This window comes from Homo sapiens, chromosome 11 (genome assembly GCF_000001405.40).
Source record: "Homo sapiens chromosome 11, GRCh38.p14 Primary Assembly".
Taxonomy (NCBI): Eukaryota; Metazoa; Chordata; class Mammalia; order Primates; family Hominidae; genus Homo; species Homo sapiens.
In genome coordinates this window covers 82972883-82999384 of record NC_000011.10, presented here as the reverse complement: position 1 = coordinate 82999384, position 26502 = coordinate 82972883, and the positions used below count along the sequence as shown (strand labels likewise).

General features: G+C 39.1%; 1 protein-coding gene across 4 annotated transcripts in view, besides 1 other annotated feature; it reads left to right on the top strand.

The window, feature by feature from the left end:
• The window catches only part of RAB30 (RAB30, member RAS oncogene family), a 98765-nt gene extending 72513 nt beyond the window's left edge, over positions 1-26252 (top strand). For all 4 annotated transcript variants that reach the window (NM_001286060.2, NM_014488.5, NM_001286061.1 and 1 more), the window contains 4 exons: positions 2061-2161; positions 5263-5346; positions 11615-11798; positions 16970-26252. In NM_001286060.2, the coding sequence (NP_001272989.1) occupies positions 2069-2161; positions 5263-5346; positions 11615-11798; positions 16970-17220 (612 nt within the window). In that variant the 5' untranslated portion in view covers positions 2061-2068 and the 3' untranslated portion in view covers positions 17221-26252. The remainder of the gene's footprint in view (positions 1-2060; positions 2162-5262; positions 5347-11614; positions 11799-16969) is intronic.
• Positions 3266-3445: an enhancer, noted in NCBI's record as "active region_5340". NCBI's record gives its function as "activates an Ori minimal core promoter by ATAC-STARR-seq in GM12878 lymphoblastoid cells {active_cell/tissue: GM12878}" and the evidence as "EXISTENCE:reporter gene assay evidence [ECO:0000049][PMID:35858748]".
• Positions 26253-26502: the final 250 nt, after the last annotated feature.

Genomic DNA, 26502 nt, shown 5'->3' with positions numbered 1-26502 from the left:
ACAGGCTTAGAAGGTCAGTGCAGCCAGGGTATGAACCTTGGTCTCTCTGGCTCCATTTTTTATGATACCATATGCCTTTGGAACATGAATCTGGTGCTTAGCTTTATGATTTCAGGCCACCCTCTTAATTTCCTTTAACCTCAGTTCACTAATCTGTAAAACAGATAATGTGTTAGTAAATACAAACCTTATATACTTGTAGAAACAAATGGAAATACACATAAAGGGCCAAGTATAATGCTACCACTGCTTATGGACCCAGATTCTTGTACAGAGAAATGTTTTTCCTTCACAGGCCCAATGAACTGGGATGGAACCCCATGAGCTACCTACATGTTGGCTTGGTTGTCAGTCATTTTTCCAAGGATTAATTGAAATCTACACAGACATCATCTTTGCACATAGGGAATTTACTCCCCTGGCTACTTGACAGGTTCAGCTAATTGGGCTCTCCTCTCTGCCCTACAAGCCTGCAGGCATTTGAGCTCCAGGTCTGCTGGTAGGAGTGACCCTGACGCTTTCCTATCTCCCAGCACCCTTCCCCTCATGAGCTCCCTAACTGCCCATTTCCTCTCTCTCCAGAGTCTATTGGGTCTGTTCTGCCTACACCTTAAGAAAAGAGCTCCACTCTTGCACTGTTGGCGCAAATTGTTATTTAGCTTTTTTTTTTTTTCATTATTTAACTTTTCTCATGTTGGTCTTGAGGGCAGACATTGTCTCTTCTCTGTATTTCCTGTGGTGATAACAGAATCCTATAGTAAGCACCCAGTAGATTACAATTGCTTTTACCAGGATAGGGCTTTATGTGTATCAAGGTTGGTTTTTTTTTTTTTTTTTTAGACAGAGTCTCACTCTGTCACCCAGGCTGGAGTGCGGTGGTGTGATCTCGGCTCACTGCAACCTCTGCCTCCCAGGTTCAAGCGATTCTTGTGCCTCAGCCTCCTGAGTAGCTGGGATTACAGGGGCACGCCACCACACCTGGGTAATTTTTGTATAAGGTTCTTTTGTAAGTTTTAAAAAATCTTCACAGCAGTCCACTGAAGTAGACAGAGCATTCTTTTAGTATGCCCTTTTAGTCACAGTCTTTCTAGCGCAGTTGGAGAAACTAAGGCCTACACATAAGCAACATGCCCATTAATTAATTTTTTATTTCTATAGGATAGACATTTAAAAGAGTAACTCTGTCCCAGGGGCTAGGAAATAGAGCTGACAGGCATAATCCCATCCCTTAAGGATGAGGCAGATATTTGAACAAACAATTGTATACAGCAAGTGAAGTTTTAGGACAGAGAAGTGTTGAAAGTGTTTAACTTTATTTGGGGAAGATCAGTGAAAGATTCAAAGAGAAAGAATTGCTGGCATTGGACCTTCAAGGACTTCAAGGTGCAGAAGGGGTGGAAGGGAGGGCATCCCAGGCAGAAGAAATGGCACATACCAAAGCCCAGAGGAGTGAACAGACAGGCACTTTGGGAGGCCCTGTAGCATCAGCATGGCTGGCAGGAGATGTATAGGAGATAGAGGGGAAAGATGGCTATGACTACCATTTGTAAGACCCTAAGACTTCCAGAAGCAGGAGACTAAAAGGGCCCTTTATAGTTCCTTCCTCTTCATTCAGTCTGCGCATCACTAGTACTTCTTTCCAGAGTCATACACATTCCATAAACGTCCTTTAAGCTCTGGATGGGCTCGCTATTGTCCTTGCTTTTTTGCACCCCAGCTTGCCTGCACAGAGGTTTGTCATCTCCTTTTCATGCTGAAAGAAAACAGATTTATCACAGGAGGAAACTGCGACATGATAGCTTGGAGGAATAAAGGTTACCAGGTGAAACGACATCTGCGTCATTTATTCTCTGTGGCATGAGGTAGCTGAGAAGGAATAAAGTCCGTCTGTGACCAAACACCTGTGTTTCTGTCTAGCTGGCAGGGTCACCGGAGGGGAGCTTTAAATTGCTCTTTAAATGAGTCAGACCTGTTCCCCCGGAGAGAAGGCTGGTGCAGCTTGAGCTCTGTGGGCAAGTCTGACTGGGCCTTTCTCACTTTTGCCTGTGTTTGCCTTGCAGCTGTGTAAATGAGTATGGAAGATTATGATTTCCTGTTCAAAATTGTTTTAATTGGCAACGCTGGTGTGGGGAAGACGTGCCTCGTCCGAAGATTCACTCAGGTAAGGGAACTCGTAAGGGAACTCGTAAGCCCAGGGTTGGGTTTGTCAGTCTAGCCTGAGGGGTTGGGGGAATCTGTCGAGATGGATGACCAGTTTCAATGCCAGGGTCTTAGCTGTGAGTTCCTGATGCACCCTTTGAAAGCTGCATCTGCTTTGTAGCCAAGACAAGGGGTTTTTAAACCACCTCACGGGAGCATGGCCCTGGGAGTCTCCACCAACCCTCCCATGCCTCTTCTTGCTTCCTTTAATGACAAAGGCAAGTGGTTTTGCTGTCAGTGTGCAGTATCAAAACTAAATTATTGGATAAAAGGAAGTTACTAATTAATAATCCCCAGGTGGAAACAAATGAATCTGGACGTCAAACTGAACCTAAATTTTTTAAAACTCTAATACAAATTAAACCAATCAAACTCTGCCTATGCCCCCTTACATCCTCCCAGGAAACTTGAGTGAATCATTTTCATTTAGGACCAAATAGGCCAATTTTCTAAACCTCTTCAGTAGGAATGAAATGAAAATAGTGAAGAATTATCTGAACTGAATTGAATGGCCTCTCTGGGTTGAATTCAATTCTTATCATATGATCTAAGTACAGGTTCCCTTTGGGACTGCCCTTTTGAGAATCACTGCTGGAGATTATATACTGCTTTTATATAGAAATCATTCCAAAGTTGACCTTTTTTGTGTGTTTTCCCCTGAAAAATATGAATGATACCCTTTGTAGGACCATTACATACATATCTTGAATTTTCATAAAGTACTTGTTCAGCAAGTTGGAACTTGCTCCTCTATCTAAGGCATAGGATAACCTGGTGCTGTGGAAAGAGCACTGGCTTGGGAGTTGAGACATGGGTCTTAGTCCTGGTTCTGCCCCTGGCTTGCTCTGTGAGCCTGGGTAAGTTACCTCCCTTTCCTGGGACTGCCTGTTGCACATCAGGGGCTGGGTGAGCTCCAAGGCCCCTTCCAGCTCTGACAGTCTGTGGTTTTGCGGAAAACGAAAGAGACAGATTGAATAACAAATAGCTAGAGGGCCCAGAGTCACTTTGGAAATGTCAGGGTTTTTCCCATGATAAGTGAATAGAACCCATGCTTTTTACTAAGCCGTGGCCTGGTGAAATCAAAAGTAACAAGCTAATAGGCATCTGGGCTCAGTCAACTGCCATGGAGATATATTGGAAACTCCAGCTGGTTTTACTTCTACCTAACATTAGTCATATTTTCTGCTTTTGACAAAAGGATAAGACTGCAGAGATGTAGTAAAGTTTTCAGTCCCTTTATCAAAAGTTTCCTTGACCTTGTCTTAGTATTGAAAGGTCACTTAGAGATTATTCAACCCACCTCTCTCACTTTATAGATGAAAGGTCAGATCTAGAGGGGCTAAATGCCTGCTTAGGATCTTATATTGTGAGATTAGATAGAGTGGCAAGGCTAGGATTAGAACCCGGGTTCCAGGTTCTTAGCCTGATAATTTGTCTCCTATACATTCTAACTTCTGAGACCATTCTCTTTAAAAGCACAAACTCTGTCATTAGATGTGAAAATGTCTCCATTTTCAACAGTAATTTTTTGCCAACAAGCTCTTTTTTCTTCTTTCTTATTTGTCTTTTATGTCTACGTTTTACCCCTCCCAGCTCCTCAACTCCACCATAAACTCATATGTCAGAGGCAAGATTATGTTTGTTTTTGTTATTTAGCAGACAGTTAAAATGAACTGGATCTAGCTGTTTTTTAGGCACAGAGGTTGGGAACAAAATGGTAGGTGAAACATTGGGAAGAATTCGTTTAACTTCTTGGCATTTGTTGAGGTGCAAAACATCTGGAGCTATAAACTTGAAGCTTGACAGCTTTTGTATCTGAGCCAAGCCAAAATAGAAGAAAATTGATTCAATATTTGAAAGTAAAGTTATGAATGTTTATATTTACATCTTTTGCAAACATGCAGTAGAACATTTTCTTTTGGTTTGAAGTTCAGTCTTTTAAGCTAAAACTTTAAATAATTCTTAATTAAAGATATCTGAGTCATAGTTGCCAGAACTAATAACGTCCATTTTACTTTAATTTCTGGAAATTCTGGAATATAAGTGAAGAGGGAAGAGAAACTGGGTGAAGAGTTCTTTCTTGACAGAATTTCTTGCTACTCCCAACTCCCTCCCTAAGCGTATAGGAAACATTATGTAATAGTAAATTGCATAAATTATACTTGTACCTTTGTTAAAATCTCATCTTTCTGGTTAAGTTTCCAGTTTGAAGTAAAGCATTTTGTTTATTTGTTTTAAAATGGCTTACATCAGCCTCAAACTCATTGAATTTGAGGCCCAGAGAGGGTGAGTGGTTTGTTTGAGGTTACACAGAGATCCTAAGGCTGCTGCCTCCTGGTTTAGTGCTGTTTCTACCCTACTGTCTCCTTGATGACTTAATTTTCTTAGATTATCTTCCCAGTGTCTTTGGCTTTGATCCCATGTAATTACACATGCATGGTACATTGTACTGAGGAAAACAGTGATCACCCTGGGGCAAAGGAAAATTCAGAAGCTTCAGGAGATCCAAAAAGACAGATCCCAAAACTGTCTTATTCCCGCTTCTCATGCTGAGTTCTTATTTGTTTTTTCATATTGTTGCCCATTCCCGTGGCTGTCCATGCTCAAGACTGATAACTAGTTTTAAGTATCCTTGATTTTATCTTTTAGAAAGAACCTATCCATTTTGCCCTGACCCTTCCAATTCTGATCTCATCCCTGTGGTCGCATGCCCTTCAATCTTATCTTCGTGTCTGATTTTTCTTTTTCATTCTTAAAATCAGGTTCCCCTGCCCTTTCTCAATTTTCTCCTTCACCTGTCTTTATCTCCTTTTCTCTGTCCTCCTGTCTCTTTCCTCTTCTTTCAGCATTTCTCTCTCCCACTTTCTCCCTCCTTTCTCTTTCCCTCAAGACATACATACAGAGTTGCACAGGGCTCCCTTGAGAGTAACCAGAGTTCTCTTTTCTACCAGTCACCTCAGCTGAAGGAAGGACTCCGGTGATGGGTGTTGCTGGGGGAGAGGAGAAAATTTCATTTAATGGAAATATTTGCTTAGCTGTTCTTTTCTATTATTTCTTCTTCAGGGTCTTTTCCCCCCAGGTCAAGGAGCCACAATTGGAGTTGATTTTATGATTAAGACAGTGGAGATTAATGGTGAAAAAGTAAAGGTAAGGTGCTAAATATTCACTAAGGTTGTCAGGTGCTATGTGAGAGGTTAGGGGAAGTACTGCTTTCATAACCATTTATTAAATCTCCTAATTGAAACCCACATGGAAACAATGCACTCAGCCATAATGGCTTATTTCCAGAGTTCTTCTAGTCTTTTTTATGGGGGAAGGAAGGAATTTTGGATGATGTGTTTACAGATTAGAAGACAGAAAATGGCTAAGGCAAGTTTGTCCTGTCTCCTGTCATGTCACAAGTGACATAAAGATAAGGAAGAAATTTCTTTTTGGATCTCTTGAGCTGGGCCAATAAGCAGGTGCTACCTCCTCTAAACAGCAGCCCCATGAAAGAGCCTCCCGATTTCTACATTTCATTATGAATCACTTATTTAAATTATCCTGTCTCCTCTCATATCCTTGTCTCTAAAAAGGAAAGACACTAAATGAGGAGTATGGGAAAGGATACATGCTCTCTAGCCCCTGCTTCCTGCCCCTCCAGCCTTTGTGGCTTCTGGATGATTTGGTACTTGGAAGAAGTATGGTGTGTCCAGGAACAGGACAAAGGAGAGAATGTTTATTGAGTACCTACAATCTGTCAGTGCCTCTGCTGGGTGCTTTTACATATGTTATATTTAGTTTAGTCCTTACTGTAAACCTGTGGGGTAAGTGGTATTATCCTCGTTTTACTGGCTTCAGAGAGGTTAAATAACTTACTTATCCATGGCTACACATAGATAAGTATAGGAAGGGGGACAGGCAGGATTTGAACCCATTTCACCAACCAGTACACCCCACTGCCTTTCTGGGGTCTCCTCTGCCATGAAAGAAGAAGGGAAGAAAGGCACACTAGGCCTATCACCTGGAGCAAGGAAAGGAGGAAGGTGATGGAAAGAAATGTGAAGGGAGACTAAATCACCTGGAAGGAGGATAAATATACTGATGTTTGGCACTGTGCTCTACCTGCCGTCAGAGTTACTGAAGTTCCACAGTTGGCTCTTCAGAGCTGGGTTTTATGGAAAGAAGTGATAGCCAAGGCCTGGTACAGTGGCTCACGCCTATAATCCCAATACTTTGGGAGGCCAGGAGTTGAAGACATAGCGAGACTCCATGTCTTCAAAAGATAAAAAATTGTCTGGTCATGGTGGCATGCGCCTGTAGTCCCAGCTACTCGGGAAGCTGAGTGAGAGCATTGTTTGAGCCTGGGAAGTTGAGTCTGCAGTGAGCCATGATTGTGCCATTGCACTCCAGCCTGGGTGACAGAACGAGACCGTGTGTGTGTGTGTGTGTGTGTGTGTGTGTGTGTGTTGGTGACAGAGAGAGAGAAAGAGAGAGAGAAGGCTGGGGGAGGGATGGAAAGAAGGAAGGAAAGGAAGGATAGCCCAGCTATCAGCAGCACAATGAAAACTGGCATTTTAGAGTTCTACCTTGATTCCCAACCTAAGCATCCTATGTTTGGGTCCATTTATTTGCATCCTTCTCCCATACGTACATGCTCTCCTTCCTTTGAGTGCCTTGGGAAGAGCAGAGAAGCTCCATAATGCTCTTCAGCATTTTCTAGATACTTGCCATCACAGAGAAGTGTTTAGGAGGAGGTCCTTGAATGGGGGCCAGAAGCTCTCTCAGTGTCTCTTCCAGCCCTGACTCCTTAAAATAGCTCATACTGCAGAGACATCCACACCAAATACAGCAGTGAATGGGGAGCTGGAGCACTGGAAGATAAAAGCAGGGTATGAAATCCACATAAATGCTAACTAAAAAGTGAACAAAAATAGTGTGGGGGGTGGGAAGAAGGAGCTAGGCTGTGGGGACAGGAAAGAGAGACAGGAGTGTGCTCAGGAGGCATTGATGGGAGGAGCCTTTTGTAGCTTTCTGTTGTCCTAGTGGAGGGGAGGTAGTTACCCAAGGAGTTGGGTAAAGATAACTACTATTTCATGCATTTTACTTCCAGATATTTGGGTTTTCCATTCATATATATATGAGTTCATTTATTTGATTTAGTGCCTACTACCTTCCAGGCACTGGCCATAAATAAGGGTGAATAAGGAATGGTCCCTGCTGTTAAAGAACAGGCTTATTTTTCTTTCCTGAATTCCCAGGCATAAATATTCCATTTATTCTACTTTCTGCAAACCTTATTTTAAAAAGTGCTTATTACACTGCAAAAATTGATATTTTTATAACATCTGACTCCACCATAAGGCCACAGGCTCCCCAAGAGCAAGGTTTGTGTCTTACTCATATTTGTATTCACAGCACACTTTCTATCCCCAGTACTTCTTCAGGCTTCTAGAACTTTATCTATAAAAAGTGACAGTTGGCTCATCTCCCAAATCCAGTCCAAATCAACTTGCCTGTGATTCTTTCAAGCCCAATATATAAAATAAAGATACAGGGTGGCCCTCTTCAACCACATGAATTTAAGGGCCTCATTAACATGTAGGCATATGAGGAACAACTTCTTTAATCCTTTCTTAGAAGAGGGCAGAACTGCATAGTTGTCTTATTGTCATCTTTTTTTTTTTTTTTTTTTTTTTTGAGAAAGGGTCTTGCTCTGTTGCCTAGGCTGGAGTGCAGTGGTGCAATCACAGCTCACTGCAGCCTCGACCTCCTAGGCTCAAGTGATCCTCTCACCTCAGCCTCCCAAGTAGCTGGGACTACAGGTGTGTGCCACCATGCCCAGCTATTCATTTTTATTTTTATTTTTTGTAGAGATGGGGTCTCACTATGTTGCCATGTTGATCACTCCTGGGCTGAAGTAATCCTTCTGCCTCAGCCTCCCACAGTGCTGGGATTACAGGCATGAGATACCACATCCAGCCTGTCATCCTTCTTCTTTAACATTTACTGAGTATCTTTTCTCAGTGATGTTAAAGTGTCTTTTTGCTAGTAGTTTGCGGGCTTTCCCAGAGCCTCATAAAGTCAGTGGATAAGAGAATCCACCAGTGATTCGTATGGCATCACCCGCTTGGTGAGTGGCAGGACCACTCTCCTGACACCCTCATCAGTGTCCTCTACAAGTATCATTTTTTCCAGGATGGCTCCCAGGATTGAAGGCAGGGAATCCAAGGTATTAGATTTTTGTAGCTATTAAGGCCAAGTAAGCGCCAAATCAGTAAAAACAAAATTAATGAAGAGGCCCTTCTCTTAAAAGGGTCTGCATTATGAAGGTGACCTCTGGTAGAAAATATAATTAAAACATATATAGACCACTGAACTGTATGCTTAAAAGTGGTTAAAATGATAAATTTTATGTATGTTTTAGCAGAATAAAAAAAATGGAAAAAACACAGAACTTTCTCATATATATTTTAGTCTATTATAAATTAATGAGTAATAAGAAAAACTCTAAGCTCAATTTAAACCATTTTAGCCTTAAGAGATAAATCATAATAGAAATAGAAGATTTGCTGTATCTCTTTCCAGTCAGATCTATGTTGATAGATAGGAGAGTCATGAAAGTATTTATATGTATTTGTTTCTTCAACCATCTGTCCATCCATTCATTCCTCCATCCTGTGTTGTAGTAAATGTTTTGTGCCAAGCACTGTGGTGGTAAAGCATCCCTGCCCCTTAGGAACTTACTATCATCTAGCTCCATCTGTGAAATCTTCTTTAATACCCTACTAATCTGTTAAGTAGAATTGACCAGTTCCTCCCTTGTGATTCCACAATCCTTTGTTCATTTAGTTAGCCATCATTCAAATGTTTCTACCACGTGCTGTGTGCTGTGTTAGGAAGGTACTGGGGGTGTAAGGTCAAATAAAAGACAGCCTTTGCTCTCAAAGAACTCAGTAGTAGAGTAGTAAACCAATGATTGCAGTACATTATTATGACGGTGAGGCAATGGAGTTTAAGTAGTGGTGCAGAGAAGAGAGTAGACAAACAATGTAGCCACATGCTGAAGGTGAGAGTGGTTAGAAAGCCCGTGGCTACAGTATTGAAAACATATTGACAGGCATGAGACTAACAGCAGGAGACGCTCTCTTCCTTTTTAATAGAACATCTTGTATTCTGCTATAGTTAATTAACTGTGTGTGTCCTTTCTATAGACTGTGAGCTGTTTGAAATCAGCGTTGATTTTATTCATCTTTATATCCTCCCTGTGTTTTATTCATCTTTATATACTCCATGTGCCTAGCACAGTACCTTGCATATATTAATGTCCTATAGATGCCGAAAGGCGCAAATGAATTGCAGAGAATGGTGAAACCAAGTTGAGTGACAAAGGCAGTAGAATATGAATATCCTCAATAATCAACTGTCAGCTAGAAACAGGCAGCCCCCTATGAGAAGGTAACATATCTTGGCATGCTCATACAATCGCTGTTCTAGAAAATATTTCAGTGACTTTAACCCTCGAAGCTGTTCTCAAGATGTGGGAACACACTGATTTCTAATACTGAACAGTTCCTAAATCGCAATCACAAGTGTTTTAGGGGCTCAGTGCAGCTTTAAAACAATAGCCCATTATTCTAAGACACATCCTGGCAGAGGGGAACCGTGTCCCTAGGTTTGAGGCAGAGAAGAGAAATAGCCTTTGTCCCAGCAAAAACCGTAACATCTGTACAGTGGCCTTTAGCATACACAGGCTTTCATGTGTATCATCGAAGAGCAGCTGCAACTGCAGATCAAAGGAGAGCCTTTGTGTGCTGCTGATTCATGGCAGGGACTACGGGTCACTCAGCAGTCTCTTTAGCTAAGCTAGTATGAGCAGAGGGTGACAGCAATGGATTCATCCTCTTTGGATACAGATGCACATTTTAGTTAGTCTTTGGTGGCAACAGCAGCATGGGAGCATGGAATGAGTCCTCAACTGGAAATAGAAGGCCTGGATGCCATGTCCTAGCTTTGTGAATAACCAGTTAGTTAAGGGACAGTTTCCATTAATACGGGGAGGTGTACACTTGCCTACCTCACTGGATTGTTGTAAAGATTAAATGAGACCATCAGTAAATATTTGAGCACCTCCTATTTGCCAAGTGCTCTATTTGCTCTAAATGGACCCTGACGTCTCCCTCATGAAGCTTTCAGTTTAGTGGGAAAGATGGCTATTAAACAAATTATTACAAATAAATGATTCAGGCATGTCAGGTGCCATGAGGGAGAATGACAGGATGTATCGCAAGAGAGACTGTGTGGGGTGGGGGGGTGGGGAACCTAGCCTAATCTGAAGGTTCTGGAAAGCCTTCCTGAGGAAGCAATCTTATGTCCCTGGACATGAATACACCTGTGACCTGTGAAATTCGTGCAATTAGAAGGAAAGATTATTGTTTTTGTTGATGTTCTTATTTCTCAAGGCCTTGTGTTTTGTTCTACACTTAGCAGCCACCCTGGAGAATAATTCGTTTTCAGTAGTTGTCTACTCTGTGCAGGGAAATTGACAAGTATTGTCTTCTTCTTTGTTATTAGAATTATTAGTTATTAGGACTTAGAACTGGTAGATAACTGCAGAAAAAGTGAACCTTCAGCAGGTTGTGTGTTATTAACCACTTTTTATAAAGAAATAATCAAAGCCCAAAGAGATTAAGTGACTTGGCCAAGGTCATAGAACTTAAGAGACCTGAAGGAAAATTATATTGTTGTCTGCCATGGCATGATTCCTGTTTTCTTTAACAAAGATAATACCTTAATACATCCATTTGAATTTTGAACTGGAAAAGTGGTGAGGTTGGCTCTCCCTCCAGTTGCTGATTAAATGCCAACAGTCACAGCTTGCCCTGTATCATGCCTTTTGTAATATGGCATTGTGAGTAAGAACGGGGACTCTGGGACCACAATGCCTGGTTGAATTGGTTCTGGGACATATTGGCTATGAGATGCTGAACAAGTTAATTAATCTTACTGTGCCTCAGTTTATTCATGCAAGAAATGGGTATTATGATAGTATCTACCTCATAGGGTTACTGTGAGGAATAAGTGAGTTGCCACAGGTAAAATGCTTAGAATAGAGCTTGGCACATAATAAATGCTTGACGAATTTCCTATATGTATTTTTTTAAGAATGAAAAGGAAACTCTTAACAAAGAAAAAACAAAACAAAACAAAATAAGCCCCTCTCCCTAACCAGAAACACACCCAACAGATTTTTTTTTTTTTAATTTTCAGTGCTTTTTTTTTTTTTTTTTTTTTTTTTTTTAGGGCAGAAAATAACCATGAAATTGTTTGGGTAAAGGTGTACCCATTTTCAAACCAAAGCAAGGCAAAGCTTTTTTTTTCTTTTTTTCTCCAACCTGATCCTTCTTCACCTGATTCTTATCTTATGCCTTTACAGCTACAGATCTGGGACACAGCAGGTCAAGAGAGATTTCGGTCCATTACCCAGAGTTACTACCGAAGCGCCAATGCCTTGATCCTCACCTATGACATTACCTGTGAGGAATCCTTCCGTTGCCTTCCTGAGTGGCTGCGGGAGATAGAACAATATGCCAGCAACAAGGTCATCACTGTGTTAGTGGGTAAGTAAGGGCTAACGAGGAGGGAAATTGATTTGTGGGCATTAGAGGATTTATAATCACATAAAGCTTATACATTGGTGCCTTCCAAGAATATAGTCTTTAGCTAATAATTCATGCAGTCAACCTTCAGTTCTTCTGCAATTGAAGAGAAAATGAAATAGGTCCTATCCCATGGTGACAGTTTAGAAAAATAAAGTAGAAAACATTTTCTATCAATGTAGGCTCTAGGGAAGAAGTTGGATGGCCATGAAAGTTATGTGAGCTGCTAAAAATTTAAAAAGTCTAATTACAAGATGAAAGGAATGGCTGTTCTAGAAGAAAAATGTATCTTTTAAGTTGATATGGAATTCATTATTGAAGCAATTGTTTATTGCCTAAAAGGTGGATTTTGGTAATTTTTTTTCCCTTCCTAACATTTAGGCTGATTTGAGAAATTCTGTGTTTCAGAAAGAATCTGCTAAGGGCAATGCTGTAGTTTGTTTCATCTTGTAGGAGAATAAAACCTCTATTTAGTATGGGGGGAAAGCACAAAACAACCCTTGATTTTCTATCATGACTGATATATGCATTGAAATGGACCAGGTCATTAAAAACTTCTCTGTTTGTAGTGGAAAAGTGTTAGTAACCATTTGATCATTAACATATTTTCTTCCTAGAAAGGAACGTTCCTATATAGTCTAGCAATACCTGAATTAGGGAAATTTGAGTAGAGATCCTTAGAAGCATTGTTAAGTTACAAATTATGGTTAATAATAAGCTCAGTAAACACTTTAGAATAGTGTTATAATTGGTATATATGTGCCAGGAATGATACGAGGAACTTTATGTGTCATGATCCCTGATTTACAGATCAGGAAACCACGGCTCAAAGAGGTGAAGTTCTTTTCCCAAGGTCACATAGCATGTAAGATCAACTCCAAGCCCTGTAGTTGTCCAGCTGTAATATGTTACGTTGTAACAAATTGCTGGACTTTTCCTTCAGGCTGCTGGATGAAGCATCTGTGTTTCTATGAGCTAGTGCTCCCTGTAAAACCCTTTTGGACAATGTTGAACCTTTGCCATAAAGCATTTGAGAGGTCTGCATTTGTACCTTCTGTTTTACAGAAAGCCTTTGGGAACTTGAGTCAAAGCATTACTACTTGGGATTTTATCTAAGGAAGGTAAATGAAGATTTGAGGGGAGACAGTTAGTTCAATATGAAAGAGGAATTGGCTTAAAACACAATTTTACTATGGAAAATTTCAGACATAAACAAGAGTAGAGAAACAGTATAGTGAATCCCCTTCTACACATCTCCCAGCTTTCACAGTTACCAACTCATGACCAATCTTATTTTCTCTTCCCTAGCAATGCTGTCCACCTTCTCCCTCAGATTATTTTGAAGCAAATCTCAGAGGTTGTATTAATTCATGTTTCAATATCTGTGTATATCTCTAATAGATTTTTAAAAAGAAAACCTAACCTCAGTGGCATTTTTACACCTAAAATATGTTAACAATTCCTTAGTATCCTTAAAAACTTAGACAGTGTTCAAATTTCCCTGATCGACTCATGATTTTTTTTCGTTTGTTTGTTCAAATTAAGATCCAAATAAGGTCCAGAAGCCGGGCATGGTGGCTCACACCTGTAATCTCAGTGTTCTGGGAAGCTGAGGCAGGAGGATTGCTTGAGCCCAGCAGTTCTGACCAGCCTGGGCAATGTAGCGAGATTAGCCAGGCATGATGGCATCTACCTGTGGTCCCAGCTACTCAGGAAGCTGAAGCAGGAGGATCACCTGAGCCCAGAAGTTGAAGGCTGCAGGGAGCTATGATCACACCACTGCATTCAGCCTGGGTGACAGAGCCAGACTCTTTAAAAAAAAAAAAAAAAAAAGCCAAGTAAGGTCCATATGTTGTAATTGACAGCTACATCTTTTCATCCTTTTTTATGAAGTTTCCACTCTCATTTTTTTTCTCTCTTAGAATTTTTTGCTAATGCATTTGTTTGACCTATAGGCTTTACAAGTCTAAATTTTGTTTTATCGCCCCAAGGTGTCATTTGATATCACCTCCATCACCTATATTTCTTGCAGATTTATAGATAAGTCTAGAGGCCTGATGAGAGTCAGGATTTTTTTGGTTTTCTTTTTAGACAAAACACTACATATATCATACTCTGAGGGGTAGTTCTCATAGAACAGGCAGGAAGAATGCTTGATTCTTTTTTGTTCACCACTTTTCAAGGTAATAAGCTGGTTCTCCAGTATCTTCTAAAAGTTAACTATTGACATCTGTTTATATTTGTAATATTATTATAAATTTATAGATTTAAATAGATTTGATGGGCTGGGCATGGTGACTCATGCCTGTAATCCCAACACTTTGGGAGGCTGAGGCGGGTGGATCACTTGAGGTCGGGAGTTTGAGACCAGCCTGGGCAACATGGTGAAACCCCATCTCTACTAAAATATACAAAAAATTAGCCAAGCATGCCTGTAATCCCAGCGGGAGGCCAAGGCAGGAGAATCTCTTGAACCTGGGAGACACAGGATACAGTGAGCCGAGATTGCACCACTGCACTCCAGCCTGGGCAACAGAGCGAGACTCTGTCTCAAAAACTAACTAAATAAGTAAATTTGATGTATTTCAGTCCCTTGCAATTATTATTATTGATGCTCCCATTGTTCCGACTTTGCCAGTGGGAGCTTCTTCAAATGGGCTCCTGAGTCCTTTTGACATGACCCCAGGAATGTTGGATAATTTTTTTGCTTTCTGGTATGACAAGTGTTCCAGCCACAACTTGTGCATTTCCTGCCCCAGACCTGGAATTAGCCATTTCTTCAAGAAGTGCTTTCTTTTCAATGGGAAGTCGTATTTAGAGGCCACAACCGAGGTGTTAGGAGCCCTCCTGATGGGCCATTGTTTTTAGGCCTTTCAGTGGACAGAGCTTGTGTGTATGTGTGCATGTGTGTGGTGGATTCTGTAGTATCCTCAAGAGAGTTTTCCTATTAGGTTCTGCTAGCGTTCCGACTCACAAGACTACCGTAGACCACGCGTGGCATCGTGTTCACTTAGAAGGACACAGGACAGGAAATACAGCTTGACAGCAGATCAGCATCCGGCAACCCTCTTCAGTGGAAGTAATCCCAGTAGCAGTCCACGTAATTTTCCAGGACCTCCTACCCAGTCCGCAACCCCCAGACGATTCTAGTATGAGGGAACAAGGCTCATGTCAAACAGATGGAGGATCTGCCTTGGCCTAGCAGCCTCAATACCCCATAGGAGACTAAATCTATTATAACAACTCCACAATCATAACTTCCAGGGTCTCTTCAAATGAAGTCACCACATTCAGGGAAGCTCAAAGTTATGGCTTTCCATTAGGTATTTATAATTCTTAGATAGAATTCCCAGGCCAGAAGTCATTTATCAATCAGGGGTCATTTTTACCATAAGCGGTGTTGCCAGATAATACAATTGACACACCTTTGTCAGGTTTCCTGGAGAATTTGAGGTAGGTGGAAAACTTTTTAAAGATAAAATACATCATGAATTATTCATACTGATACTTCTATTTATAATTCAGGACTGCAGAAATTTTACTTAACCACATTAATTTTATATTTATATTTCCTTTTTCCTATGCCAAAAGTCCCAGTTCCCAATGGTACCAGCATAATTACTCATTTGCTTTATCCCATAATACACAGATAGCAACCTCAGAATAATAATACCAACAGTACCACCAAAAAGATGATTACTGAAACAGTTCAAGATTGTTTCCTTCAATTCTTTTTGTCCTTAGGCTATATACCACTGGGGTTGCACTGTTAAATTACTGTATCTTAAGCACCTTGAAATAGTTACTCTGTTGGCCCGGCTCGGTGGCTCAATTGCGTGTAATCCCAGCACTTCTGGAGGCCGAGGCAGGTGGATCGCTTAAGCTCACAAGTTCAAGACCAGCCTGGACGTGGCGAAACTCTGTCTCTGCAAAAAATAAAAAAAAAAAATTAGCTGGGCATGGTAGTGCCTGCCTGTAGTCCCAGCTACTTGGGAGGCTGAGGTGGGAGAAGATGGCTTGAGCCCAGGAGGTGGAGTTGCAGCAAGTCAGGATCGCGCCACTGCCCTCCAGCCTGGGCAATAGAGCCAGACCTTGTCTCAGTTAAAAGAAAAAAAGGGTTACGGTCTGTGTGGTTATTCCACACATGATGAACATGTTCATTTGTTTAATTTTGCTCTCAGTTTTTAGGGATTGCTTTTTAAATTTAATTTTGAAATTAATTGTATAATTATATAAAGCATTTTTAAGTTCCTAAAGTAAAATCTACAAAACAAAGTATATTCAGAGAGGTCTGGTTTCTATTCCTTTCACCTCAACCCTGTTCCTTTCATAGGTAACCATTTTCTTTTAAATTAAGATTTTGGTCTAGTCTTCTATTAAAAAAATAAATAAAATGTGTGTATAATATATGTATTCATATCCTTCCCTTTTTCTTGGATAGACAGTTGCGTATTGTATATGCTTTTTTTTTCTGCTTCGCTTTTTTTTTGGTTAACAGTATATCCCAGTGTTTCCATTACATGGCAGTATATAGAAATACTCCTAATTGATTTTTATGGCAGCAAATACTCCATTGGGTGGATGTGCCATACTTTATTCAGTCAGTGCCCTACCGATGGACATTTGGGTTGTCTCCAGTTCTTGCCATTATGAATGGCACTCATTTTTTATTTATTTATTTTTTTTGAGACAGAGTCTCACTCTGTCACCCAAGCTAGAGTGCAGTGGCATGATCTCGACTCACTGCAACCTCTGCCTCTGGGGTTCAAGCGATTCTTCTGCCTCAGCCTCCCAAGTAGCTGGGACTACAGGTGCGTGCCACCACACCTGGCTAATTTTTGTATTTTTAGTAGAGACGGGGTTTCACCATATTGGCCAGGCTAGTCTCGAACTCCTGACCTGGTGATCCACCCGCCTTGGCCTCCTAAAGTGCTGGGATTACAGGTGTGAGCCACTGCGCCCAGCTGGCACTCATATTTTAAAGTAAACATTTCAGTAATCACAGTCACATTTGTTTTGTTTTACTCGCCCATCTGTCTGGCTTGACTTCAGATATGGAGTTGAATTTTGATGCTTCTCAGCCTGCAAAAAGTCAAATGCTGATTCTTTATTTGATTTTACTACTGTTATAGGCAACAAGATTGACCTGGCTGAAAGGAGAGAGGTTTCCCAGCAGCGAGCTGAAGAATTCTCAGAAGCTCAGGACATGTATTATCTGGAGACCTCAGCCAAGGAATCTGATAATGTGGAGAAACTCTTCCTTGACTTAGCATGCCGACTCATCAGTGAAGCCAGACAGAACACACTTGTGAACAATGTATCCTCACCCTTACCTGGAGAAGGGAAAAGCATCAGCTATTTGACTTGTTGTAATTTCAACTAAAGGCTGAGGCACGGAGAAGAAAAGGAATCAGCAACTGCCCTGATGGGCCATGAGATGCTGGGGAGATCTGGCGATGACTGTGGCTCCCGCTCTCTGACCTTCTGACTCCTGTGGGCTCCTGAGCTTACAAAGCATGGCAGGCCAAGGGCCTCGACCACAGGCCAGCATTAGCAGAACATATAATGGTTTCACCCTTTTCCAGTCTGGAGTTGGAGCAAGGAGAAAATTGCACTAGGCACTCCATGATCTGCAGAGCATGTTGCTTTTGTTTTTTTAAAAAGCAAGTAAAAGCGCATTCCTAAACAGAGTCCGGGGGGAAATGTACTGTAGGGATCCCTCCTGCACATCAGTGGGTGCATGTGGGAACTCTTCTTTAGGGCTTCGGTGGTAATCATCTGGGGGCCCTGGTTTTCTTGTCTACCAGATAAACCAAAACTGGGAAGGCCAAGTACAGTCTCTGTGGTGCGTATTGACGACCCCATGGAGATTTTGAAAAGTGTTATTTCTCTTGTCCACAGGCACTTTCAAGAACTTTGGGATGTAAAAATGAAATGAAACCTTTACCCATGACCAACAGTAACAATCATTGTTTTAATAATATATACAAGCTCCATAACTCCTTTTGGTGCTAATGATTCCGCTATTTCACAGACCAAACGTTTTAGTACATTAATGTCCTTAAATGTGTTATATAGAAATAAAAAAATGGGGGAAGTCCATGAATCAGCACTCTTTCTCAAAGTCTCATTACTACCTTTTTAAAGGTGGATTTTTGGGAAAAGAGAATACTTTTCCTTTTATGTTCCCCTCTGAATCTCTACCACTTTCTTGTCTCTCCAGCCCTTTATGTAAATGAAAACGTTTGCAAAATGAAAAAAATAAACAAATGGTTGATGACATTCTAATATAAAAACTTAGCTCTAACACATTTTGAGTAGTATGAGGAAACAGACCAGATATGACCAAAATACTGTGGATTAATGGACTGTAGTGCAGGGCTCCTAGCAGAGCACAGTCCTTGATAGTAGGTCACATCTTTTACTTCCTGGTACTCTCCATCTTGGACAGACCAAGGCTTAGGATTTTGTAGATTTTTTAGTATGATAAGTGAGAATAGCAACAGATGAAAAGTCTCACGACCCATTTTTATATCTTCGATGATAACCTTAGAAAAATTCTGCTCGTGGAAGCAGATTGAACTGTCATTTATCCCCTCCTTCTTGTAATAATGTTACCTTCAGACGCTTAACCATATGTTCTTTCTTTTTTCTTTCTCTTTTCCTCTCTATTTTTCTGGTCTCTCCTTTTCTTCTTCCCTCCCTCCCTCCCTCCTTCCCTCCCATCCTTATATGCCTGTGTTACTGCAAATCTCCAATTCAAATGGAGGTGTATATGCCTTTACTTAGCCAATTTAAAAACAGGACTCAAAATGGGAGATGTGCTGCTGAATATGTGTTTCTTTTTCTTCAGTGCCATACTTTGATAGCTTCCAATTTGTTCACTGATATAAATGCAAATTGGGAAAATAATTAAACCTGTATGCTGTTGATGCTGTCAGATGTTTCTGTAGCTTGCTGCTTAGCATAACTGAGGGATGAGTAATGGAATAAGGATATGATGTGTAATTCCACTGTTGCTGTAGATGGTGACAATCTCAGTTCTGATATGTTGATGTTTGAAAGCTATTTAATTGTAAAGAAATTAGTCATGTAGAGACATGATGTGGATAAAGCATTTCTGGCATTTCTCTAGCAGGTTCTAGATTGACCAGTGTCTTGCACATGAGATTATGCATATTTTTTAAGGGGCTGATACTTTTGGTTGGCCTCACTGTGTTTTTCCTGATCCTGTGGGAAAGAGAAAGGCATCCCAGAAGTTTGACTTGTTTTTCTTTTAGAATCTGTCTCTGCAGGAAAGAAAAGTCATTTTAATAAAAACCAAAATAATTTATAATAATTGTTGCCTTTCCCTCCCCATCCTCTCCACTAAGCCAGCAACTAAATGTATTCAGAAAACAAGTTAATCAAGGAGGGCAGAAGAATTTTTTTTAAACTGTAAGAAAATGTTCCTAAGTTTAGATTTATTACCTGTCATTTAGGGCAAAAATCCAGTGTCCCCAGCACATGATGACCCAACTTTGTCTCACAGTTGCAAGTGTGTTGAAAATAAAGTTGCTTTGTGAACTTAGAGGAAATGGCTGTGTTAGATTGGACTGATTTAGTTGCAAAATAATACCTTTTAGGGTCACACTTGTATTATTCCCTAGGGTTTAGCCTTCTCTATATACCCTTGGCCAGACTCAGAAGGGGATTAAAAAGCTCTGGTCTTGGCCTCTATCTTCCTTGTTGCTCCTCCCAGCCTTTCCATAACTTACCCATCCACAGCCCATCAGCAGGAACACATGAGAATGTGGGACTTTGTTTCTTTTTTTCTTAGTTGTATGAATTCCAGATTAGGCCTTATGGATACTTGTCTACTAATATATCTGAAGTTTGAAAACAATCCCTGACAATATTGTAGGTGCAATAAATATTAGTCAAATAAACATTTAAGTGCCAAGGTGGGGTGGTAGTGGTTGGGGGAGCTTTTTTTGATTAAACAGAAATTCCTTCAAGTAGAACTTGAGAAAGGACACTAAATACAGTCATCTTAACCCAGGCCAGAACCTAAATTTATTGGTTTGCCTAACAGTCTTATTGTCATGGCAATATTTGCTAAGATGAGCCTTCTTTAGATAAAAATGAACTCTCATTTAGTGGTGGATGAAAAAAGAGAAATTGCTTTATCATATAGTTTAATTTGGCTCGGTCTACTAAGACCACCAGGGTTGATGTATTCCTCCATTTTTGGTGTGATCTTTTTCTTCATTCAATAAAGTTATTAAATATATGGCAAAACTTTTTTCAGTTTCCAGTGAAAATGCATGATACTCATGTCATGGAGTCAGGCTTGGGAAAATCTATGAAATAATAGTTTGCTGATAATGATATTTTCTTATGGCTTTGTATAGACTACATCCTCAAAGGATTTTGTGCTTCTTTGCCCATAGAAGGCTTTTTCTCCCTTTGTGTGCTTTTATTAAATCTGTTGAATTATATTAATATTTTTTGAATTTACAGGGCCAATTATCTTTTTTGATGGATTACTTAGATTAGGCCATGGGTTCTTCCTGGCCTTTCTTTTTCTCGGTCTTTTAATCATTTCACGTTTTTATCTCTCCCTGAGTAAAGTGGCAAGAAAACTAAAAATGAAAGTTAAATGGGTTGATTTGACAATGTGTCAAGTTCTGATTTAGAGTTTATAAGGAAGGTAGAAACGATTGGCCAAAATAAGATATTTGGATGAGGATTATTTAAGCCGTTTAGATTTGGCCAGAGACGCCAGATTTAGCAAAGGACTGGGTTCTTATCTTCTTTCATTCATGAATATATGCCTTGGGAGGACACTGGTGATTCCCACAGAATTAGGCCAATGATTTGCCACATTACCCTTTAAGCTAGCCCATAATTCCACCAGATCCCACACCAAGTTTCAGTTCATGACTCATACTGAATAAACGTCAGTTGTAAATGATGTTTGAATTGGTCTTCCTACTAAAGTGAAACATCTTCTTTTAAGCCAAGCCACATGAATGAAATAGCACAATCAGAAAAAAATCTTTTTTTTTTTTTTTGCATATCAAACCAATGGCCTTCTCCACTAAGCCAGCAACTAAAGGTATTCAGAAAACAAGTTAATCAAGGTGGGCAGAACTTTTTGAACTGTGAGGAAATGTTCCTAAGTTTAGATTTATTACCTGTCATTTAGGGCAAAAATCTAATGTCTTTTTTATTTCTTAATCTTGTAGAACTCTGTATTTCATAGTAATGAGTACTTAGGGATCATTGCTCTATTAGCCTCTGGGAGAGATCTTCTAGAGTTTGCCATTCCTTTTTTTCCAAAATTTTTTGTTGTTGTTGTTGTTGTTTTAACTGCAACTGGTTACTTTTCTCAACCATGGTCCTGACATGTTTATACTATGATACTTTTGAGACTTCGCTAAAGAATTAAAAGCTGTGAAACAACATTTGCTTCTCATCCTTCAGACAAAATGTGTTCCATTTAAGCAGCATGGTTAAACACTAATTTTGGGATAAGGGAGGGATATGTTTTCTTTACTTTCTTTTTGGATTTCATTTCTGTGGCATGAGCCTATTTGCGTTTGGAAGGAAAGATGCCTTCCTTTACATTCTTCACACTGGTAATTTTTTCATACTGAATTAAGAAATTATCATCCCTTCAAAACACATATTAATATAGCAACATTAGAGTAAGGGAGATGGCATTTCATCTCCTCTCCTCAGTCCCTTGATGTTGGAATGTTATTATCATTTCCAGGAGCCATACTTTGAAATTAAAAACAAATTGAGGCATTACCAGTCTGATGAAGGAATTTTAAATGCAAGCCATTTAAAGAATACTTGAAGGATTTGGGGAGACTTAGGTTAGGAAAAAGAGGGGAATACAATTAGTGCATTAGAACAAGATGCTCTGTGGTTCAGAGGGGTGGAATGAGGCCTACTGAATGAGGCCGTAGGGACACAGATTTGGGTTCCATGTCAGGGCGACCATTCTCAAAAAGTTGGTTCACTATGGGACAGTCTGCCTCAGGTAATAGCCTCTGTCAAGAGGCAAAGATGTGGAGAGGATCCAATTGGTTGGAGATTGGAGCAGGTGACCTATTAACCTAAATTCCATGTTGTATGTAGTACTTTGCCTCTCATAACATGTTCAATTAAATATCTGTTAATTCATAGCTAATGATTTTTTTAATGGGGCCTCGTTCTTCTGCCACAAGTGCATCCCACCTTTATCTTTCAGGGAAGAGGTTGGTTGCACGTTGTTAGGCCAAGAGACTGGCCCTCCATTATGCCCTATGCTGGACTTGCTTTGTCGGTCCATTCATTGATGTCCTGTTGAATCAAAAGGTATTGTTTTAGTAGAAGTTACATGAAGTATATTCATTTATCACTTGCTAAACATAGGCCTTGCTCTGTTTAATAAATAATGGGTGTCTCTTTCAAGATTTTAGGATAGGCCTTTTTAACAGAGCAGAATCTTCTGTTAAAGTTCTCACAAACAGACCAACTCCCAAGAGAGATGGGCTGGTGGGTCACTGACATAAAGCAGTCCACAAGATCTATTTTAGAAAAGTATCAATGACATTTCCTTAGTTGGTTTGATTCTCTTGAGAATACATGAGTTTAAAAGAACTGAGGTCAAATTGCTTTATGTGGAAAGCAATAAAAACAAGTATTTTTGACTTGCAAATTAGAGGTAACTGTAAGCAATTTTTGCTATTGAAGCCTATGGCCCAAATTATTCCACCTGCAAAATAACTTTCACCCTTGCAAGGCTGATAGACGGCTCTTCATTGGTCTTTTTTTATGGTTTTGTTTTGTTTTTTTAAGTCATTGGTCTTAAATCTGTATGGTGACAAATCTATTTGAGTTTGATTGAGACTTTCTTGGACTCCTTTGGACAAGAGGTCAGAGCACAAAGGCTAGTCACCACTTCTTTGACTTCTTGAGGTATGAGCCAAAATTTTACTTTTCCATTGATTTAAAGCAGAATTTTTGGAGATGCTGTGTTCTAGTTCCTGACGGAATCGGTGGTGGTTGCTGACTTTGACACTTTGGAGAGTGATGTGGGGAGTTATATAGAAGGGGAAACACTAGTTTAGGTGTGAGGAGTTCTAGTATGCCACAAATTAGCTGAGACTTTAGACGAAGCACAATATTTGAGCATCAATCTTCTCATCTATGAGATAGACCTGTCAGGATTATTGTGAAAATTAGATGAGATAAGTTGAAAGTACAGTGCTTGGTAAACAGTTAGCACTCAAATATTAGTTCTTTTTCACTTTAATTAAGAGCAGACTTTGAATGGTCTGATGCCAAGTGTAGATCCTTAAGAGACAAAACAAAGAAACTTTCCTGGCTTCAAAGAAAAGAACTCCATTTCTGAAAGGGTGCCTTAAAAGGAATTCATTTGTCTGATCCATCCTTTTGCCTTTGGGCATTACTACTGTCACCCTCCATTTCTTTACAAACTTCAGGCAAGGTGGTCTCTCTCTCTCTCCCAATAGGCAATTCCAGGGTTGTAAACTCATTATCAGGAAGCTTAATCTTAGAACTGAAATACCTCACAGAGCAATTTAAACCTCTTTCTTCTTGTTCCTATTCTTCATGGGAAGAAAACTGGGTTGATCCCTATCTTCTTTTTAAGGAGCCACATTTGCCATTTATTATTGCTCTTTTGCCTATTTAAAAAAAATAACAGTCAGAAAAAATAATGATTATTAAAATGATAGTCATTATTTACTTAGTGAATGTCAGGATAGGTATTTATTACTCTTAGCTTCTTATTGGTATCAGATGTAGATCACGGTCTTACTGTTGATTAACTCTTCAGTTATATATACATACTTTGATTCTTTAGTTACATAATTGATAACAAAGTGTGCTTCTGAAGAATTATTCTGGCTGTATGGCTCTTGTTTCCTCCCCTTGGTAAAAATGGAGGCATGAATCTCGGTTTTGTGATCTGCTTTTAATTTCATATATGACATTATTTGATGTACATAATTACCAACATCCAAAAGCGTTTCTTCCCCTTTCTACGTGTGCACTAAATTCTAAAACAAAAATTGGAATACAAAATGCCTAATAAAGAAAAAATTCATGTACAGAAAAGCAAAAGATAATCTACTTTGTTAAGATAATTTGTCACTAGCTGGTTGAATAATGCACAGTTTTTGTTTAAGGTTACACATTTATGCCTGGATTAAATAACAATAGTAAAACTTGACAAGTCTTTTGAAAAACAGCTGCTAAACATATTGCTTTCTGGAATGTAATCATTAGCAACAAATATTCTCTTATTCTATACAATTGCAGAATGCTAGTGGAACTTTCTTGTAGGTTATTTGACAATGAATGTTAATTGATTTATTTTTTAAAAATGTAAAATCCTCTTATCCCTTTAAGGCCGGTTTAGGCTTTCATGTCCCTGTGATAGAAAATTTCAAATGCTGGCTTCTAATTTCTACTCACTGAAGTGTCTTCCAGACATACCAGATGGTTGGAGCTCCTTTGATAGTATATAAGGGAGCTACATAAATGTATTTGAACTAACTCGTGAGCAAAATTTCTGTTTTCAGCAAAAAAAAAAAAAAAAAGAAAAAACAACAAACTCTGCTCAAAATTTCAGATAATACAGGAGTAAAAAGAGGTTTTTGATAATCTGAAGGGAAAAGTGTGCCCCATATATCTTGTACACACTTTTAATGCATGACTTTTAGTATAGAGATGAAATAAAATGCAAAATATATAATTCTGGAGATCTCAGCAGCTAGTTAAAATATTTAGAGAAGCTGCTTTATGAAGACTTAGAGAATCCTTGATCTCCCCCACATTTCCTATCACTCCATTGAAACATGGATCTTTAATATTAATACATACATAGTTTTAACTAATAAACAGGTTAATCACTGAGTTTTATGAACTCGATTCTTGATATTTGGCTATTGGTTTTAAGCATAGGATATCAGTATTATTTGTATACAGCGTTATATAAAATCTAACCAACTTCAATATAAGAATAGTACTTGATTTTAAATGTTAATATGCAAATATTAACAGTATACTACATCATATTTTATGTGTTCATATATTGATCTTTTTACTTAACAAAAAGCCTGTTAGAAATATAACCCACTGATGACCCGAGTCCAATTAGCTGAAAACCTTCTGTAGAAAGGTGATTGTATGAAAAATTCAATCAACATTAAAAAAGGGAAGTGGGGAGGGAATACAAACTTGAACAAAATATTCTTAAATGAAGTTGCATCTCTTTTTAAAATTAAGATATCATTCATGCACCATACGGTTTATCCTATTAAGGTGTAAACTTCAATGTTTTTAATCATATTCACTAAGTTGTGCAACATCACCACTCCCTAACTTCAGAACACTTTCATCACCTCCAAAAGAAACCCCATACCATTTGCAATCACTCCTCCTCCTCCTTCCCCCAGCATCCGGCAACCACTAATCTACTTTCTGTCCCTATGAATTTGCCTATCCTGGACATTTCATATAGTCAAACAACATGTGGCCTTTTGTGTCTGGCTTCTCTAAGTAAGCATAATGTTTTTAAAGCTCATCCATGTTGTAGCATAAATCAGTACATTGTTTTCATGTTTAAATAATATTCCATTGCATGTATATGCCACATTTTATTTGTCCATTTATCATTTGATGGACATTTGGGTTTTTTCCACCTTTTGATTATAATAATGCTGCTGTGAACATTTATGTAAAAGTTTTTTGTATGGGTGTATGTTTTCACATCTCTCTTAAAAACAATTAGTCTGACAAATCAAATCAAATCATTTATGTTTATTTACGTAGAACCTCTTGCAATCCTGTTTGGAGAGTGCAACTTACGATCTTAGTTTAATTGATCAATTAGGAGACCTCTGAATAAAGACTAACTCCCCAATACATCCATAAGAATTTTTCTATGAGCCTGTCATTTAGATGTGATAAGCAATCAATTTCATGAAGACTGTTTCAGTCTTGTAGAAATTGAGTTGCCATCACATAGAGGATTTCTTGTCCTCTGCATTGTTTAAAGGACAACTACAAATCATGCTGGATAAGAGTACTCATTCAATCTTTTAGGATTCAATGAAGTAGCATTTTAAATATGTAAGTTATTTTATATATTGTCTGTCTTTTAAAATTGGACTTTGCTTCTTGAAAAAAGTTTGTCAAATCACCAAACCATATGACTGTCCATTCATTGTAGCCTATGTTTTCTATTATTAAGAAATAATTCATACTGAGAGTAAAAGAAAAAGAATGTATTTTGTGTGCAAAGGATGAATGTATTAAAAACTTTTTATTTGTAACAATTTTTTAAAAAAACTAAATGGAAATTGCTTTCCCATGTACTTGTATATAAATAAACATTTCCTGTTGCCCACATTTGGAGAATCATATGCCATCAAAATATGTAAAAAGCAAACAAACTTTAAGTGTACTAATGTCTTTCAGCACGGTGCAAAATGTGCCCTGGATCTGGGGGATCTGGAGACCTGAGTTAAATGTTGATTTTCTAACTGGCTAACTTTGGACAAGTCATTTAACATTTGCACTATGGTTTTCTACTTTATAAAACAAGGGGCTAGATTAGATAATCTTTAAGGCCTCCTCCGATTATAAACACTAAACGAGA